Source organism: Homo sapiens, chromosome 17 (genome assembly GCF_000001405.40).
Source record: "Homo sapiens chromosome 17, GRCh38.p14 Primary Assembly".
Lineage (NCBI taxonomy): Eukaryota > Metazoa > Chordata > Mammalia > Primates > Hominidae > Homo > Homo sapiens.
Genome location: NC_000017.11, coordinates 30982752 through 31002703, shown reverse-complemented (window position 1 = coordinate 31002703; position 19952 = coordinate 30982752). Strand labels below are relative to the sequence as shown.

Here is a 19952-nt window from a genome sequence, read left to right as displayed (position 1 = left end):
CTGTGTCCCATCAAAGTGGAAGGCCAGGTCCTGGCCTTAGCATAGGACCTTATCGGAGAGTAACGAGGGGAGAGGCTTCAGAGTGAAAAAACCAGCCAGGCATGGTGGCTCACACCTGTAATCCCAGCACTTTGGGAGGCCGAGGTGGGTGGATCACTTGAGGTCAGGAGTTCAAGACCAGCCTGGACAACATGGTGAAACCCTGTCTCTACTAAAAATACAAAAATTAGCCGAGCATGGGGGTGCACACCTACAATCCCAGCTACTTGGGAGGCTGAGGCACGAGAATCACTTGAACTCTGGAGGCAGAAGTTGCAGTGAGCCAAGATCACACCACTGCACTCCAGCCTGAGTAACAGAGCGAGACTCTGTCTTAAAAAAAAAAAAAAAACAACAACAAACAAAAGTGAGAAAACTGGGCCTGGTTCCAGCTCTGCCATGACTGGCTGATCAACCCCGGACAAACCACCACACCTGTCCCGGCCTCTGCTTCCTTATGCATCAACAGGAAGGTAATAATACCCATCACGCAGGGCAGTGGTGAGGCTCAGAAAGCATATTAGTAGACCACGTGGAAGAATTCTGCTTACCCCTGTTTTGAAGGAGCGATTAATCATGTATAGAAATTAGGTGTGAGTCTCAGGATGTTAGAGGCCAAGGTGGGTGATATTAAGATGTAATTCCATCATTGCTGCTGTGATAATCATCATCCTTGTATTCTTCCGATTTCCTCACCTCCTACTTTATTTAATGGTTTCAGCAAACCTGTGAGGAAGGTAAGGAAGGGCAAATAATAATGATGTCCATTTTAGAGAGGAAAGAAAGGCAAGAAGAGTTTAAATATACTGTCAAACGCTGCCTGGCTGGTTTGCATGACAGGGTTTTCTCTTCAACCTAGTTCAGGAGCTGAACGTCCCCATCTTCAGAATAGGTGCTAGTCAAGACCAGAGTCCTTCTATGGATGAACTGTAAGACAAAAAAAAAAAAAAAGAGAGAGAGAGAGACATGTATATTAGGAGACTAACAGACATTAAATAATGGGCATGAGGGTTCTTTCTGGGGGTGATGACAATATCCTAAAATTAGATTATGGTGATGGTTTTACAACTCTGTAAATATAGTAAAAAACATATATTTGTACACCTTAAGTGAATTTCATAGAATGTAAATTATATGTCAGTCAGGCACAGTGGCTCACGCCTGTAATCCCAGCACTTTGGGAGCCTGAGGTAGGCAGACTGCCTGAGCTCAGGAGTTTGAGACCAGCCTGGGCAACATGGCAAAACCCCATCTCTACTAAAAATGCAAAAATTAGCTGGGTGTGGTGGCTCACACCTGTAATCCCAGCTACTCAGGAGGCTGAGGATCACTTGAACCCGGGAGGCAGAGGTTGCAGTGAGCCAAGATTCATGCCACTTCACTTCAGCTTTGGTGACAATGTGAGAACCTGGCTCCAAAATAAAATAAATAAATAAATAAATAAATAATATTCCCAACAAAGCTGTTAAAGGACATACCATTTTTTTTAATGGGCAAGATGAAACTACTGTGGCTATGGATGCATATTTGAGTGATAAAACTCTAAAGAAATGCAAGGAAGTGTTTGGCGTGAATGTCAAGACTCCTTTCAGGCACAGGGAGGGTTTTGTGATTAGAATGGGGCACAGGAAGGCGCTTCTGGGGTGGGCAGCAGGTGCTATTTCTTGACCTGAATGATAGTTACAAGGGTATTTACCTTATAATAACTCATTAAGCACCACTTGTTTTGTGTAGTTTTCTGTATCTGTTTTCTTATATAATAAAATGGTTGTTAAAAATAGGGGAAATCAAGTATGAAATAACACCTGTGTCAGACATACTGTAGAGTGGCCCCCATTAGCCCCACTTCCTGGCATTCATGTCCTTCTGTAATCCCCTCCCCTTCAGTGTGGGTGGTAACGTGACTTGCTTCTAATCAATAGAAGGCAAAGGCAATGGGATGTACGTGATTACGTGTTTATGTGGTTATGCTATGTAAGATTTTGTGTCAGCCGGGTGCAGTGGCTCATGCCTGTAATCCCAGCACTTTGGGAGGCTGAGGCGGGAGAATCACGAAGTCAGGAGTTCGAGACCAGCTTGGCCAACATGGTGAAACCCCATCTCTACTAAAAATACAAAAAAAAAATTAGCCGGGCGTAGTGGCAGACATCTGTAATCCCAGCTACTCGGGAGGCTGAGGCAGGAGAATTGCTTGAAACTGGAAGGCGGCGGATGCAGTGAGCCCAGATCACACCACTGCACTCCAGCCTGGGCATCAAGAGTGAGACTCCGTCTCAAAAAAAAAAAAAAGATTTTGCGTCATCTGGCTAGGAGACCCTCTCCCTTATTGTCTTTGAGGAAACAAGCAGCTGTGTTGCAAAGGCCTATGGGGTAAGGAACTGAGGGCGGTCTCCAGCCAACAACCAGAAAGAAACTGAGGCCCTCAGTCCGGCAACTCAAGAACTGAAGGCTGCCAATGACCATGTAATTTGGAGGCAGATCCTTCCCCATTGGAGCCTCAGATGACCCTGTGTCCCCAGCTGACATGTTGATTGCAGCTTGTAAAACTCTGATGTAGGAGACTCAGCTAAGCTATGCTCTGACTCCTGACTCACAGAAACTGTGAAATAATATCTATGTGTTATTTTAAACCATTAAATTTGTGGCAATATTCTTACATAGCAACTGATAAGTAGCAAATTATGTTTAGAGATCCTCTGAGACTGCCCTCAGGTTCAGTGATTCACTAGAAGGACTCACAGAACTCAGCAAAGTGTTGCACTCATAGTTACAGTTTATTACAGTGAAAGGATACAGATTAAAATCAGCAATGAAGAAAGGCACATAAGGTAAGGTCCAAGAGAACTTCCAATTATCCTCTCCTGGCAGAGTCTTCAGGATAATGCTTAATTCTCCCAGCAATGATGTGTGGCTACAATGATGTGTGCACAGAGTATTACCAACCAGAGTAGCTCACCCATGCCTAGGTGTCCAGGGCTTTTACTAGGGATTGATCACATTGGCATGCTTCACTGCCCACATGGCTAACTTAGTCTCCTCAGCTTGACCTTGCAAGGTCAAGCTGATACTGCATGGCCCAAGGCCCACAGGTAAACAAAAACACTCTTATCAGGCAAGATATTCTAATGGCTTAGAGGTTATCTCCCAGGAGCCAGGCAGGGGCCTATTCTTTATTTGGAATGTCCAGGGTTCAAACATCCCAAGTTCATCCTGTATCACACAAAAGGATTAACTTCAAAAGTGGTATTCTTGGCCAGGTGTGGTGGCTCACACCTGTAATCCCAGCACCTTGGGAGGCTGAGGTGGGAGGACTGCTTGAGACCAGGAATTCGACACCAGCCTGGGCAACCTAGTGAGATCCCATCTCTATCGTAATTTTTCTAAAAAGTGGTATTCTTAAGTCAAGTTACTACCCTGATTGATGACAGGGAGAGAGACCAGGAAACCACTGTGTTGTAATCCCTTAGGAAACCTTACACCTTTACTTGCTTTATTATCAGGTAATTTCCAGGATGTAAGCCATACAGCCAGAAGGCAGGGTACAAAGGAGAGGAGGCAGAGATGGTACACTCATACAGAAGCTTCTCCTGATTGTCCACTGAATAGAAGGCAAGCTTTCCCTCCTCAAGGTTCAGCCAGATGCCCACCACCCCAGGTCTGTCTGAGCCAAGGACAGTTTCCTTGACCATGTGCCATGCAGAGAGCTGGCTAGTCCCCTTCCATTCCACACAACAAGAGTCCATAGTCCTTCCCAGGACCTGGTCGCGGCTCATCTCCCAGGAAGCCACCCCAACTGCCCAGTGGCTGCAATTCCTAGTGTCCACTTCCCAGTAATGCTTTCCAGAAGACAGGGCCTGGGAACATAAGACCTGGCTGGTAGAAAACCTCTCACAGCTCCAGCGATAGGGTTGTGGGCGGTGAGACACAGTCACTGTACGGGAATCCTTGGACACCTCCAGGCTGCAGGAAAGGCTCTTCAAGTTAAAGGTTGGATGGATGGCCCCTTTGGAAAAAAAAAAAGAACAATAAGAACATGGCCGGTCATCTTTTGATGGTCCATGCTAAGAAGTCTTCAAATAGCAACTTTGTATCTTTTGGTGTGATGTTTCACTCACACTAGCATTAAAATTGCTACATCACCCAACAGGAAGAAATGATAAATGTTTCAGATGATAGATATGCTAACTACCTTGATCGGATCACTATGCACCATATGTATTGAAACATCACTATGTATCCCATAAATATGTACACTTATTATATTTATTTATTTTTAAAATTTATTTAGAAAAGAAGCAGGATTTTGCCATGCTTCCTAGGCTGGTGTCGAACTCCTGAGCTCCAGCAATCCTGCCATCTCAGCCTCCCAAAGTGCTGCAATTACAGGCATGAGCCACTGCACCCAGACTATACAATTATTATATGTCAATTTTAAAAATCAGGCCAGCTCCTTCAGCCAGGTGCACTGGCTTACCCCTGTAATCCCAGCACTTTGGGAGGCTGAGGCAGGTGGAACACTTGAGGCCAGGAGGTCAAGACCAGCCTGGCCATCATGGCCAACTCCTGTCTCTATTAAACATACCAAAATTAGCTGGGCGTAGGCAAGGTGCGGTGGCTCACGCCCGTCTTATGGTGATTTATGACCACAGCTGTTTATACCTTCCCAGTTAAACTGAAACTTCCTGATTGAGGACCATGTCTTACTCACTTTGTATATTTCATTTGGTTTCCTATTGAGTGAATAAATTGCTAACACTTATACAGCATGACTACTCTAGGTGTTTTACTCATACTCACTCACTTAACCCTCATGGCAATCCCGCAAGAGAAGTACTATATTATCTCCATTTTACAGATGAGGAAACCCAGGCTCTAGGAAGCTTAAGTGACTTGCCCAAGATCACACAGCTAGTTAGTGGAGCTGCTGGGAGTCAAACCCAAGCAGTCTGGCTCTGGGATCCATGCTCTTAAGGACTATCCCAGACTGAGATGGCAGAAATACCTCAGCAGGTTTAGGAAGAGGCAGTTGGCTATAGTTGGTGGCCACAGCACAGATGCAGAAATACCTCAGCAGGTTTGGGAACAGGCAGTTGGCTGTAGTTGGTGGCCACAGCAGAGATGCTCAAAGGTTGGCGGGACTCTGAGTGCTCTTGGGTCTAGAGTCTCAACCTGCTTTGCCTTTGCAATCAGCTCCCCCCGTGGAGGGACCTGGAACAAATCCATGTGCAGTAAGCCAAGGAGTGGCCCTAGCAGTAGGGAGATGGATGTAGGATATTCTCGAAGCCCGCTCTGCGGCAAGCCAAACCCATGTTTAAAGTGGACCACATACTTACACTGAGCAAACCGAGAAGCTCTCCTGAGTGCAGGGTGGCTCTGGTCAGGCAATGGGCATGAGGAGGAAGACGGGGCTTCCAGGAGTTCTCCTAAGTAACAAAAAAATTAACAGAGGAAAGTCCCATCAGAAAAAGGCAAACTGAAGGTCTCCAAACATCATGGTCAAGGCACATGGCTGGCTTGTCTTCTTATCATCTACACATTTTTCAGTGTCAGGACTGGATCAGGCAGAGGCAGTGTGCCTGCAGCCCAGGTATGTGCACCTCCATGTTCTCACTGTGGACTTTTCACTCTTTCTTCACTAAGCTCTCAGCTCCTTGCTAGCAAAGATCTTGTTCATCTATATGTTCTAAGCACCAAGCCCCATGCCAGTCCCATAGATAGAAGGTGTTTTATGCACACTCATGAAATAAAATCAACTAATACAGTTCCAGGGGATTGCAGCACCCTAACACCTAGAATATCCAGGACCCCCAAGTCAATGTTTTAAACTGTTGTTACATAAACTGGGTAACATGAGTTGGGGTGAGATTCATCACCATTGCTGACACCTCCTAATTCCCTCTCGATGTGCTAAAGTTTAATTATTAACTTAAAGCAGTCATGTGTGCTAGAGTGCAATGACCACGTCAGGCAGATGATAAGTAAGGGAAGTCCTAGAGTGCAGACTTTGAAGGCAAAATCTTGTCCTACTTGTATCTTGAAGTGACAGCAGCTGCAGTGAATCTAAGACTCCACCTGAGAAGAGATGAAAGACCTTGTCTAGGGTGTGCCTGTGGTAACTTAGGTCATGAGAGCAAGAGAGCTGCCTGTAAAGAGGCCAGTCTCAAAATTCAACTCGGAACTGAAGCAATCCCTGTGTCCAGAGACAGAAAAATGGATAAAGAAATGTGATATATACATACAATGGAATATTATTTAGCCTTAAAAAGTAACGAATACTGCCTGGGCGCAGTGGTTCACACCTGTAATCCCAGCACTTTGGGAGGCCAAGACAGGCAGATCACAAGGTCAGGAGTTCAAGACCAGCCTGGCCAATATGGTGAAACCCCATCTCTACTAAAAATACAAAAATTAGCTGCGTGTGGTGACACATGGCTGTAATCCCAGCTACTTGGGAAGCTGAGGCAGGAGAATCACTTGAACCTGGGAGGCGGAGTTTGCAGTCAGCCGAGATCGCACCACTGACTCCAGCCTGGGAAACAGAGTGAGACTCCATCTCAAAAAAAAAAAAAAAAAAAAGTAATGAATTCTGCCTGGGCGTGGTGGCTCACGCCTGTAATCCCAATACTTTGGGAGGCTGAGGCGGGCGGATCACCTGAGGTCAGGAGTTCGAGACCTGCCTGGCCAACATGGCGAAACCCCATCTCTACTAAAAAATACACACACACACACACACACACAAAACTAGTCAGGGGTGGTAGCACATGCCTGTAATCCCAGCTACTACTAGGGAGGCAGAGGTGGGAGAATTGCTTGAACCCGGGAGGCAGAGGTTGCGGTGAGCCAAGATCGCACCACTGCACTCCAGCCTGGGTGACAGAGCAAGACTCCGTCTCAAAAAAAAAAAAAGTAACAAATTCTGATATATGCTACAACATAGGTGAGCTTGGAGGACATTATGCTAAGTGAAATAAACCTCTCACACACTAATACTGTATGATTCCACTCACATGAGGTATCTAGAATAGTCAAATTCATAGAACAGAAAGTGGAATAGTGGTTGCCAGGTAGGAGGGGGTTGAAGGAATGTGGAATTGTTGCTTAATGGGTATAGAGTTTCAATTCTGCAACATGAAACCAGGCATGGTGGCCCATGCTTATAGTCCCAGCTAGTTAGGAGGCTGAGGCAGCAGGCTCACTTGAGGCCAGGAGGAGTTCCAGACCAGCCTGGGCAACATAATGAGACCCTGTCTCTACAAAACAATTCTTTTTTTTTTTTTGAGACTGAGTCTCGCTCTGTCGCCCAGGCTGGAGTGCGATGGCGCAATCTCAGCTCACTGCAAGCTCCACCTCCCGGGTTCACGCCATTCTCCTGCCTCAGCCTCCTGAGTAGCTGGGACTACAGGCGCCCACCACCACACCCAGCTAATTTTTTTGTATTTTTAGTAGAGACGGGGTTTCACCGTGTTAGCCAGGATGATCTCGATCTCCTGACCTAGTGATCCACCCGCCTCGGCCTCCCAAAGTGCTATGATTACAGGCGTAAGCCACTGTCCCGGCCAAAACAATTCTTTAAATAGCTGAGCATGGTGGTGTGGGCCTATAGTCCTGGCTACTGGGGAGGCTGAAGCAGGAGGATTGAGGTTACAGTGAGCCATAGTTGTGCCACAGTACTCTAGCCTGGGCAACAAAGTAAGACCTGATCCTAAAAAATTAAAATTAAAGTTACAGTCCAGGCGTGGTGGCTCACACCTGTAATCCCAGCACTTTGGGAGGCCGAGACGGGTGGATCACCTGAGGCCAGGAGTTTGAGACCAGCCTGGCCAACATGGTGAAACCCTCGTCTCTACTAAAAATATAAAAAAAATTAGCCAGGTGTGGTGGTGGATGCTTGTAATGCCAGCTACTTGGGAGGCTGAGGCAGGAGAATCGCTTGAACCCAGGAGCCAGAGGTCGCAGTGAGCCGAGATCATGCCATTGCACTCCAGCCTGGGCAACAAGAGTGAAACTCTGTCTCAAAAAAAAAAATAAAATAAAATAAAGTTACAAAAAAGAAAATGATCTGGAGATTGGTTATATGATAATGTAAACATACTTAACAGTACTGAGCTCTGAGCTGCTACTTTTTTTGTTGTTGTTGCCGAGGCTGGAGTGCAGTGGCCTGATTTCGGCTCACTGCAACTTCTGCTTCCCAGGCTCAAGTGATCCTCCCACCTCAGCCTCCCAAGTAGCTGGGACTGGGACTACAGGTGTGTGCCACCATAGCAGGCTAGTTTTTGTATTTTTGGTAGAGAAGTGGGTCTCACTATGTTACCCAGGCTGCTCTTGAACTCCTGGACTCAACTGATCTGCCCACCTCAACCTCCCAAAGTGCTGGGATTACAGGCATGAGCCACTGCACCTGCCTGAGCTGCCTACTTAAAAATAGTTAAGATAGTAAATTTTATGTTGTATGTATTTTCACTACAATTTAGAAAAACACAAAATTCAGATGAATATCACTGTTCTCCTATTTTGCTGATACGATTATTACTTATTGTTAATAGGTTTTTAAAAAATGTTTGGCTGGGCACCGTGGCTCACGCCTGTAATCCAACAACTTTGGGAGGTTGAGGCAGGAGGATCGCTTGAGCCCAAGAGTGGGAGACCAGCCTGGGCAACATGGCAAAACCTCATCTCTACAAAAAGTACAAAAAATTAGCTGAGTGTGGTGGCACATGCCTGTAGTCCCAGCTACTTGGGAGTCTTAGGAAGGAAGATCACCTGAGCCTGAGAGATCGAGGCTGCAGTGATTGTGCCACTGCACTCCAGCCTGGGCAACAGAGAACCTGTGTCAAAATAAAAAAATTAATTAATTAATTAATTCAGCAGAATGCAGATTATAAACAAAAGAAAAAGAAAGGAAAAAAATTTTTTAAAAAGCATTTGCAAAACCTACTGAAGTTATTTACTTTTTTTTTTTAAATTAACACTCCCTAATACTTTTTTTATCTCTATTGATGAGAGAAATAATCTACACTTAACCATGGAAATTTTTTCCAAAGAATCATGGTTCTCCAGTTAAGAGCAACATTTTAAGCAGAGCAATATCATTAAACATGAAAATGCTATGAGATATGTCTCTAAAGTGGCACTACACAAATCTTACTTAAAATTCACTAGGGGCTCGGTATGGTGGCTCATGCCTGTAATCCCAGCACTTTGGGAGCCAAAGCACAAGGATTGCTGGAAGCTAGGAGATCAACACCAGCCTGGGCAATAAAGTGACATCCCTGTCTCTATTTAAAAAATAAATAAGGCCAAGTGCTGTGGCTCATGCCTGTAATCCCAGCACTTTGGGATGCCAAGGCAGGCAAAGGCAGGCAGATCACCTGAGGTCAGGAGTTCAAGACCAGCCCGGCCAACATGGCGAAACCCCATCTCTACTAAAAATACAAAAAGTATCCAGATGTGGTGTCGGGAGCCTATAATCCCAGCTACTCAGGAGGCTGAGGCAGGAGAATTGCTTGAACCCGGGAGGCGGAGGTTGTGGTGAGCCGAGATCGCGCCACTGCACTCCAGCCTGGGCAACAGAGTGAGACTCTGTCTCAAAATTAATAATAATAATAATAATAATAATAATAATAAACAAATAAAACAAAATGCACTAGGATACATGCTGAGATATACTTGAAGTGAGTCAAAGATTTAAATGTAAAACATGAAACCAAAGATTTAAATGTAAACTGTGTAAGTACAAACACACACATATACCTGAGAAAATTCCTTTCTAAACTTCAGGGGGTTGAGTTTTCTAACTAAAACTTAAAATCTACAATGCATAAAAGAAAAAATGAACAAAATTTACTACATGAAAATAGAAGCAAGACCTCTTCTCCACAAAAAAAATAAACAAAAAATTAACTGAGTGTGGTAGCGCCACCTTGCAGTCCCACCTACTCAAGCAGCTAAGGTGAACTAATTGCTGGAGCCCAGGAGTTCCAGGCCAGCCTAGGAAACATAGCAAAACTCTGTCTCTACCCAAAAATACAAGAATTAGCCAGGTGCGGTGACACGCACCTGCAGTCCCAGCTACTCAGGAGGCTAAGGAGGGAGGATCACTTGAGCCTGGGAGGTCAAGGCTGGGGTGAGCCATGATCGCACCACTGCACTCCACCCTGGGAAACAAAGTAAGACCTTGTCTCAAAAAATAAAAAAGAAACATTTAGAGACCAGGAATTGCCACAGCACTCTAGTCAACCAGTCTAGGCAACAGAACAAGACTCTGTCTATTGTCTCTAAAAAAAAAAAAAAAAATTGAGGCCAGACATGGTGGTTCACACCTGTAATCCCAGCAATTTGGCAGGCAGAGACAGAAGGATTGCTTGAGCCTAAGAGTTTGAGACCAGCCTGGGCAAAACAGTGAGATTTCATCTCTATAAAAAATTATGTAAAGGCCGAGCGCAGTGGCTTACTCCTGTGTAATCCCAGCAGATTGGGAAGCCAAGGCAGGTGGATCACCTGAGGTCAAGAGTTTGAGACCAGCCTGACCAACATGGGGAAACCCTGTCTCTGCTAAAAATACAAAAATTAGCCAGGTGTGGTGGCACAGGCTTGTAATCCCAGCTACTTGGGAGGCTGAGGCAGGAGAATCACTTGAACCCAGGAGACAGATATTACAGTGAGCCAGATCACACCTTTGTACTCCAGCCTGGGCAACAAGAACGAAACTGCTTCTCAAAAAAAAAAAAAAATTACATAAATTTAAAAATGTCTATATGGCATTATAAAACCCATAAAAGATAAATAAAAAGACAAATGACATATTAAGGAACAAAATTTGCAATTCATATAACAGACAAAAGTTTAATCTCTTTAATTTACAAAGAGCTCCTAAATGTCAATTTTTAAAAGACCAATAACACAAGATATGAAAGACAATTCATGGAGAAACACAAATTAAAAGTGTAGTATAGGCCGGGCACGGTGGCTCACCCCTGTAATCCCAGCACTTTGGGAGACCGAGGCAAGCAGATCACCTGAGGTCAGGAGTCTGAGACCAGCCTGACCAACATGGTGAAACCCCATCTCTAAAAGTACAAAAATTAGTGAGGCCTGGTGGCAGGTGCCTGTAATCCCAACTACTCAGGAGGCTGAGGCAGGAGAATCACTTGAACCTGGGAGACGGAGATTGCAGTGTGCCGAGATCGGGCCACTGCACTCCAACCTGGACAACAAGAGCGAGACTCAGTCTCAAAAAAAAAAAAAAAGAAAGAGAAAGAGAAAAAAAACGCGCAGTATACTCTCACGTCAATGTATTTTCTTGAGTCAGAGTTTCATTCTTGTTGCCCAGGCTGGAGGACAATGGCACGGTCTTGGCTCACTACAACCTCTGCCTCCCGGGTTCAAGCAATTCACCTGCCTCAACCTCCCACGTAACTGGGATTACGGGCACCCACCACCAAGACTGGCTAATTTCACATCAATATTTTGACCCATGAGATTGGTTTAAAAAAAAAGACAAATGTTTGACAACATACTCAGTTGGCAGGTTGGGGACACACACTTCTTCTGTGGGAGTGAAGACTGGTATAACCCAACTGGAGGGTGATTTGGCAATGTATATCAAAATGACAAATGAATTTACCCTATGACCCAGCAACCTTCACTGGCAATTTGAGCTACAAATATATCTACACCCATATGAAACAATGTACATACACAGTTATTGATTTTAGCATTATTTGTCATTGTAAACAATTGGAAACAATCACGTATTCATCTGCAGAGGATGGAGTAAATAAATGTTGGCATACCCAGATATTGGAATACTGAGCAACTGTAAGAGAAAATGCCCTAGGTACTAACAAAAGCAAGGAAAAATGTCCTAACTACTGTACTATAAAATAAAGATGTATAAAGTAAAAGACAAAAGCAAAATGCAGGACAATGTATATAATGTGCTATCTTTTGTGTATTAAAAAAAGATTGGGAGAAATAAAAATATAAATTCATATTCGCTGACATTTGCATAAATAAATTCTGAACAGACACTCAAAAAAACGGTAATAAAAGTGGTGCACTGAGAAGAGAGAATGGGGCAATTGGCAAGGATGGAAGAGAGACTGGGCAGTATGCCCTTTTTATACTGTTTTTGTTTGTTTGTTTGTTTGTTTTGAGATGGTGTTTCGCTCATCACCCACACTGGAGTGCAGTGGCTCACTGCAACCTCTGCCTCCCGGGTTCAAGCAATTTTCCTGCCTAAGCCTCTGGAGTAGCTGGCACTACTGGAGTGTGCCACCACGCCCGGCTAATTTTTTGTATTTTTAGTAGAGACGGGGTTTCACCATGTTGGCCAGGCTGCTCTCGAACTCCTGACCTCAGGTGATCCACCCTCCTTGGCCTCACAAAGTGCTGGGATTACAGGCATGAGCCACCGCGCCCAGCCCTGTTTTGATTTTTGAATATGAAATTTTAAATTTAACCCCCCAAAATTTAAAAATTGATCTTAAATTTGTATAAATAAAATCACTAAGGAACCCAACCTAAGTTTAGAAGCACACAGAATACAAAGGTGCTTCTTTCTCAGATAATTTTTGGAACAATAAACTGCTCTCTAATTGTTTTCCTAAAGAAACTTTTTCCAAGGAATCATGCTTCTCCACTTACATAAGAAATGATTCTTTTTTTTTTTTTTTTTTTTTGAGACAGAGTTTCACTCTTGTTGCCCAGGCTGGAGTGCAATGGTGCAACCTCTGCTTCCCAGGTTCAAGTGATTCTTGTGCCTCTGCCTCCTGAGTAGCTGGGATTATAGGCACCCACCACCATGCCCAGTTAATTTTTGTGTTTTTAATAGAGACAGGGTTTCGCCAGGTTGACCAGGCTGGTCTTGAACTCTTGACCTCAGGTGATCCACACGCCTCGGCCTCCCAAAGTGCTGGGATTACAGGCATAAGCCACTGCACTGGCCAGAAATGATTTTTTAAGTAGCATAAGATTGTTTAAATATGAAAATATAAAGGATATAAAAGCTATCAGAAGAGGAAAAGCTACAGAAGAAATGCCTCTAAAGCATATGAAGATAGCAGTGGCCAGAGCAGGAGGAAGAACCCTGGGAGACCAGACAGAGCTAACGTCTAATGTCTGACAGGAAGGTGTTAGTTATTTTTCAATAACTCTGGAAGAACAACAGAGAAACTACAGGATCAGGACAGAAAGGTTCTTTTCTATATGGTACTGTTTAATATTAACATTAACACACTCCCCAGAGATTATATTTTAATAGACTGTATCAAGAACTAGTTACAAAGTGGCATGCTGGTTTTGTTTGTAGACAAGATCTCCCTCTGTTGCCCAGGATGCAATGCAGTGGCATGATCACTCAGCCTTGAACCCGTGGCTCAAGTGATCCTCTAGCCTCAGCCTACAGAGTAGCTGGGACTACAGGTGTGCACCACCACATCTGGTTACTTTTTATTTTTTGTAGAGACAGGATCTCTCTCTGTAGTCCAGGCTGGTCTTGAACTCCTGGCCTCAAGAGATCCTCTCACCTCAGCCTCCCAAAGCACTGGGATTACAGGCGTGAGCCACTGCACTTGGCCTATATGCTTTGTTAAGAAAGACATTTACAGCCAGGTGCAGTGGCTCACGCCTGTAATCCCAACACTTTGGGAGGCTGAGGTGAGCCTTGCAGTCAGGAGTTTGAGACCAGTCTGTCCAACATGGTGAAACTCTGTCTCTACTTAAAAAAAAAAAAAAAAAAAAGAAAGAAAGAAAAGAAAAAAAAAACCAACGCAAAAATTAGCCAGGCGTGGTGGCGCACGCCTGTAATTCTGGCCAAGATCGCACCACTGCACTCCAGCCTGGGTGACGGAGTGAGACTCTGTCTCAAAATAAAACAAAAACAAAACAAAATTATTAAAAAAAAAAAAAAGAAGAAGACATTTACTAGTTAAAAATTTAAGGCCAGGCACGGTGGCTCACGCCTGTAATCCCAACACTTTGGGAGGCCAAGGCGGGCAGATCACAAGGTCAGGAGATTGAGACCATCCTCGTTAACATGGTGAAACCCCGTCTCTATCAAAAACACAAAAAATTAGCCAGCATGGTGGCGGGCACCTGTAGTCCCAGCTACTGGGGAGGCTGAGGCAGGAGAATGGCATGAACCCAGGAGGCAGAGCTTGCAGTGAGCCCAGATGGTGCCACTGCACTCCAGCCTGGGCGACAGAGTGAGACTCCATCACAAAAAAAAAAAAAAAAAAAAAAAAAAAAATTAAAAGTGGCCTATTTCAGAATCTCTGCAGTAAGATAACACACTTGATCAGTAAGGACCTGTGTGCATGGATCTTCAAAAATGAGTTTCTATCTATTAAGGACTTGTGATACATCACACCTTCAGTCATTGCCAAAAACATATTCAGCCACAAAATCACTTCAGCCCACCCCTACCTGATTCACGACACCACAGTGGTAATACAGCTGGACTCTGGGATCCTATCCCCAGAGAACAAAGCCATAGAGCACTCTGCTACTCCCCCCAACTTCCATATTTAATCCTCCTCCAATAAATAAGATCAGCTCACCCTGCATTTGTGCTTCAGGAGCCTCTTTCCAGGTGACGCTTTCTTGTAATTTTTCCTGAATTTCTTCTAGGTCATGGAGAATATCTCTGATTTTCCCTGCAGCTGTGTCGGAAGTCACCAGCTTTGGAGAAGCCATGGAAAGATCCACCCCAGAAGAAAAAGCCTATTGATAAACCATTTAAAACTGAATAAATGGAAGTCCCCTATGCAGTCTATCAACTATTATATTCAAGTTTTTCTATTCATCTATAATTTTCTATTTAATTCCCAGCAAGTTTTTAAAAACAAAATTAGGCCCTCAAAAAATATGCCTTGAAAAAAATCTGGAATAATTTGCTGTACATAGTACAGCAAAAATATCAAAGAGTGGTTATTTCTGGGTGATGGAGTTATGGAGCACTTTAATTTGCTTTATTTAATGCTATGTGCTTTCTAATATTTTGCACAATAAACATGGATTTCTTAGGTAATACCAAAAAAGTTTAACATTTCTAGGCGCATCTTATAGGGGCTTTATAAAATAAATACTACAGATAGTTACTGAGATAAACCATGGAGGTCAGAATAACCTTTTCGGCTAGGTGTGGTGGCTCACACCTGTAATCCCAGCACTTTGGAAGGCTGAGGAGGGTAGAACACCTGAAGTCAGGAATCCGAGACCAGCCTGGCCAACATGGTGAAACCCTGTCTGTACTAAAAATACAAAAATTAGCCAGGCATGATGGCAAGTGCCTGTAATCCCAACTACATGGGAGGCTGAGGCAGGACAATCACTTGAACCCGGGAGGTAGAGGTTGTACTGAGCTGAGAAGATCATGCCACTGCACTACAACCTGGGCGACAGAGCAAGACTCCATTTCACAAAAAAAAAAAAAGGAACCTTTTCCCACCTCTATCATTATATCATTTCACTTCGCAAGAGCTCCCTCTCAAATTGCCTGCATCCAGGTCCTGCTTTCTAGGGCCTTCAACACATGCTCCCTGATTTTCTTTAGCCTCAGGTCCTGTTCTTCCCCAATACAGCCCTTTATCTGCTCACCAACTTCAACCCCTTTCCTTCCCACCTTTGCATAATCCACTCCCCATTCTTTCCACCAATCAAAATACGGTAGTATTACACTTATTGAGTGTTTTCTACATGCTAGATATTGCCTTTCTCTCATTTGCATAACAACCTCACAAAGTAGGTTTATCAACCTGTAAAAAATCTCCGTTTTACAAAAGAAGATGAAATTCATGAAGGTTAACTAAATTGCCACAGTTAATTATAACATCCCACATTTTAACATTGCTCAAGCACTTTCTTATACCTCTTTTAATCCTCACAATAAACCAATGATGTGGCAGGCCCTGTATCATTATTTCTATATTACAGATAGGAACCTGAGACGCAGATAGATGAAATGACTTGCCCAAGGTCATAATACTAGTGAGTGACAATGTCAATTCTGAAAGTCAGACTCTCAGCGTTTCTATCCCAACACATCGCATCCCTAAAGATGGATTTATCCATACATTCAGTGGGTATTTGTTGAACCCCTACTGTAAGTGGGTACTTGGGTACTGTGCTAGCGCCTGGGGACACAATGGTGGACAAAAGAACAAAAGCATCAGCCAGGCAATGTGGCGCACGCCTGTAATCCCAGCACTTTGGGAGGCCGAGGCAGGTGGATCACAAGGTCAGGAGTTTGAGGCCAGACTGGCCAGTATGGTGAAACCCCGTCTCTACTAAAAATACAAAAATTAGCCAGGAGTGGTGGCGGACACCTGTAGTCCCAGCTACTCGGCAGGCTGAGGCAGGAGAATCACTTGAACCTAGGAGGCGGAGGTTGCAATGAGCTGAGATCACGCCACTGCACTCCAGCAAGACTCTGTCTCAAAAAAAAAAAAAGCATCAAAAGTCCCTATCCTCCTGAAGTTGAGAGTCCAGTGAAGGAAAAGGGAGGGGGGCAGACATTAATATAGAGTATGGCACAAGACATTACAAAGGTGCAATGGTGATAACCACTACAAATGAAAGGTACATGGAGTCCTCAGAGCCTCTAATGGGGAGATTTGATTTGTTCAAGGAAATCATTGAAGGCTTCTTTCTGAAGAAATGACGTTCTAGCTAGGATCTGAAGGATGAGCAAGTATTACCTAAGTGATGGAGGGAAAGGAGAGCATTCCATGAAGGGTGCCCTGTAGTGGGAAGACGTGAGACACACTAGAGCGACTGTGCGGCCAGTGTAGCTAGAGCGCACAGAGCCAGGCAGCATGAGCAGAGATGAGATTTGAGAGGCAGACAGAGATGGGATCCTACAGGGCTTTGCTGGTCCTGTGAGGATTTGGGTCTTACTCCTGAGCAAACTGATGTAATTTGAATGTTTTAAGCAGATGAGTTACATTTTCAGATTGATGTTTGTGGTAGTCACTGTGATGACCATGAGGAAAACAGACTAGAAGAGGGAGAGTGGAGCATTTGGAAGACTATGACAGCAATCCAGACATGAAATTATCAGAGGCTTGGATTAGAGCAAGTCTCAAAGGAGCTCAAGAATAAGTAAATAGATTTGAGAGGTAATTAGGCAGGTCTTAAAGCTACAATATGCTGCATATTAGGGTAAGGGAGAAGAAGGTAACATGATTTCCAGGTCTCTGGCTTCTGTACTTGGAAAGATAATGGGGCAAGCATTGAGATGAGAAATCCCAGAAGAGGAGCAGTTTAGGACGCATTAAGTGTGATGCTTTGAGATACCCAAGAAGAAAAGATGAGAAGGAAGACATAGCAGCCTAGTGCTCAGAGAAGGCTCCAGCCTGGAGCTATTATTTGTGCATAGAGGTGGTCATTAAAGCCATGGATGCAGGGAAGACTACCTGCAGGGGAAACAAAGGGACCTACAACTCAGCCTTGAGGAACTCCAGCATTTAATTCCTAAGCAGAGGAGAGAGAGCCTGTAAACAGACTGAGAAGGATCAGCCAGAGAGAGGTGGGGGAAAGCCAAAAGATTCCTGTCCCAAAAGCTAAGAATGAAGGTGTGGTCCACAGTGTCAAAGGCTGCTGAAAGGTCAATGAAGACAGGCACCAGAACGCTTATAGAGACAGGCACCAGAACGTTATACACAGAGGTCACTGGTGATCTTAGAGACAGCTTGTTAGGTGGAGTGATCCTAGCCCATCTGAAGCTTCCCAACCTTACCTCAAGCATTCCAAATGTCCAATCATCCATGTCTGGTAGTAAAGAGAACAATAAAAGATTGAGACTTATTGTATCCTTCAGGTTCAAATATGTTCATGTTGTTCCAGTTGAAAGCAATCCCTAGCCCTATTCCCTTCCACATCCTTTCCTCTCCCAGTGGAGCCTACCTTGCCCAGGATGCTCAGTTCGTTGTCTGGTCCAGATTCTGATAGGGGCCTCTGATTCTGCAGGCTTCTGACAATGTCTACAAGATGTTCCACCAGCTCTGTCAGCTCCTGAGCAACTTCTGTGATGCTCTTCTCTACTGCCACCTTCAAAATAGCAAAGTTCAGGTCCTGGGTTCTATAAAACTGGACCCAGGAACCACCACTAGACAGAGGGAATCATAAATACTGTGGTAATGGCATAAAAACAGACATACAGACCGATGGAATACAATAGAGTACCCAGAAATAAACTCTCACATATATAGTTAAATGATTTTTGACGAAGGTGCCAAGACCATTCAATGGAGAAAGGACAGTTTTTTCAACAAATTGTACTGTGAAAACTGGATATCTATATGCAAAAGAATATGGCTGGACCCTTACCTAACATCATATACAAAAACTAACTCAAAATGGATCAAAGACCTAAATGTAAGACCTAAAATAATACAGCTGTTAGAAGAAAACATAGGGCAAAATTTATGACATTGGATTTGGCAATGATTTATTGTATATGTCACTAAAAGCACAGGCAACAAAAGAAAAAAGGAGACAAATTGGACTACATGAAATGTTTAAACATTTGTGCATCAAAAGACACGAACAATAGAGTAAAAAGGCAATCCACAAAAATGGAAGAAAATATTTGCAAGTCATACATCTGATAAGGCATTAATACTGAGAATATACAGAGAATTTCTAAAACTCAACAATAAAAACATATCACTGCCGCTTGTTTGGTTGGTAAAACAAACAAGCAAAAACCCACAAACAACTGAATTTTGAAATGGGCAAAGAACTTGAATAGCTATTTCTCCAAAGAAGATATACAAATCACCAATAAGCACATGAATAGACACTCAAGATCACTAATCACTAGGGAAATGCAAATCAAAACATACAGTGAGATACCACCTCACACTCATTAGGTTGGCTACTATCAAAAAAAAAAAAACCAAAATAACAAATGTTGATGGTGTGGGAAGATTGGAACCCTCTGCACTGTTGGTGGGAATGATATAGCCACTATGGAAGACAGAATGGTGGCTGCTCAAAATATTAAAAATAGGCCAGGCGCAATAGCTCATGGCTGTAATCCCAGCACTTTGGGAGGCCGAGGCGGGTGGATCACCTGAGGTCAAGAGTTCGAGATCATCCTGGCCAACCTGGTGAAACCCCATCTCTACTAAAAATACAAAAATTCACCAGGTGTGGTTGCAGGCACCTATAATCCCAGCTACTTGGGAGGCTGAAGCAAGAAAATCTCTTGAACCCAGGAGATGGAGGTTGCAGTGAGCCAAGATCATGCCACTGCATTCAAGCCTGGGCGACAGGGCCAGACTCCATCTCAAAAAAAAAAAAAAAAAATATATATATATATATATATATATATATATATATGTACATATATGTAATTAGAATTACCATATGATTTAGCAATTCCACTTCCGGATATATAAGAATTGAAAACAGGATCTCAAAGAGATTCATAAACTCATGCCCATAGCAGTATTATTCCCACTAGCTAAAACATGGAAGCAACCCAAGTATCTGCAGACAAATGAATGAATAAGCAAAAAGTGGCATATACATACAATAGAATACTACTCAGCCTTAAAAAGGAAGGGAACTCTGACACATGCTACAACATAAATAACCCTTGAAGACATTATGCTAAGTGAAATAAGCCAGTCACAAAAAGACAGATACTGTATGATTCAACTTATATGAGGTATTTAGAGTAGTCAAAATCAGAGACAGAAATTAGAATGATGGTTGCCAGAGGCTGGGGGAAGAGGAAATGGAGAATTTTAATGTCCTCCTAGAATTCCACTTTTGCGAGTTGAAAAGAGTTATGGTACCCTGAAGAACCAGTCATGTTAATTTAAAATTTTTTAAAGTTATGGAAATGATGGTAGTGATGGTTTCAAAACATTGTGAATGTATTTCATATCACCAAACTGTATACT

The 19952-nt window shown here is 43.5% G+C and overlaps 1 protein-coding gene across 6 annotated transcripts in view; it reads right to left on the bottom strand.

Moving 5' to 3' along the window:
* The window catches only part of RNF135 (ring finger protein 135), a 40991-nt gene continuing 23831 nt past the window's right edge, over positions 2793–19952 (bottom strand). For 4 of the 6 annotated variants that reach the window (XM_047436929.1, XM_024451001.2, NM_032322.4 and 1 more), the window contains exons 2-5: positions 17944–18087; positions 14598–14760; positions 5373–5462; positions 2793–4042 (exon numbers count right to left, since the gene is read on the bottom strand). In XM_047436929.1, the coding sequence (XP_047292885.1) occupies positions 3513–4042; positions 5373–5462; positions 14598–14760; positions 17944–18087 (927 nt within the window). In that variant the 3' untranslated portion in view covers positions 2793–3512. Of the gene's footprint in view, positions 4043–5372; positions 5463–8799; positions 8865–14597; positions 14761–17943; positions 18088–19952 lie in introns of all 6 variants that reach the window. The other 2 variants (NM_001184992.2, NM_197939.2) reach the window with 2 other exon arrangements.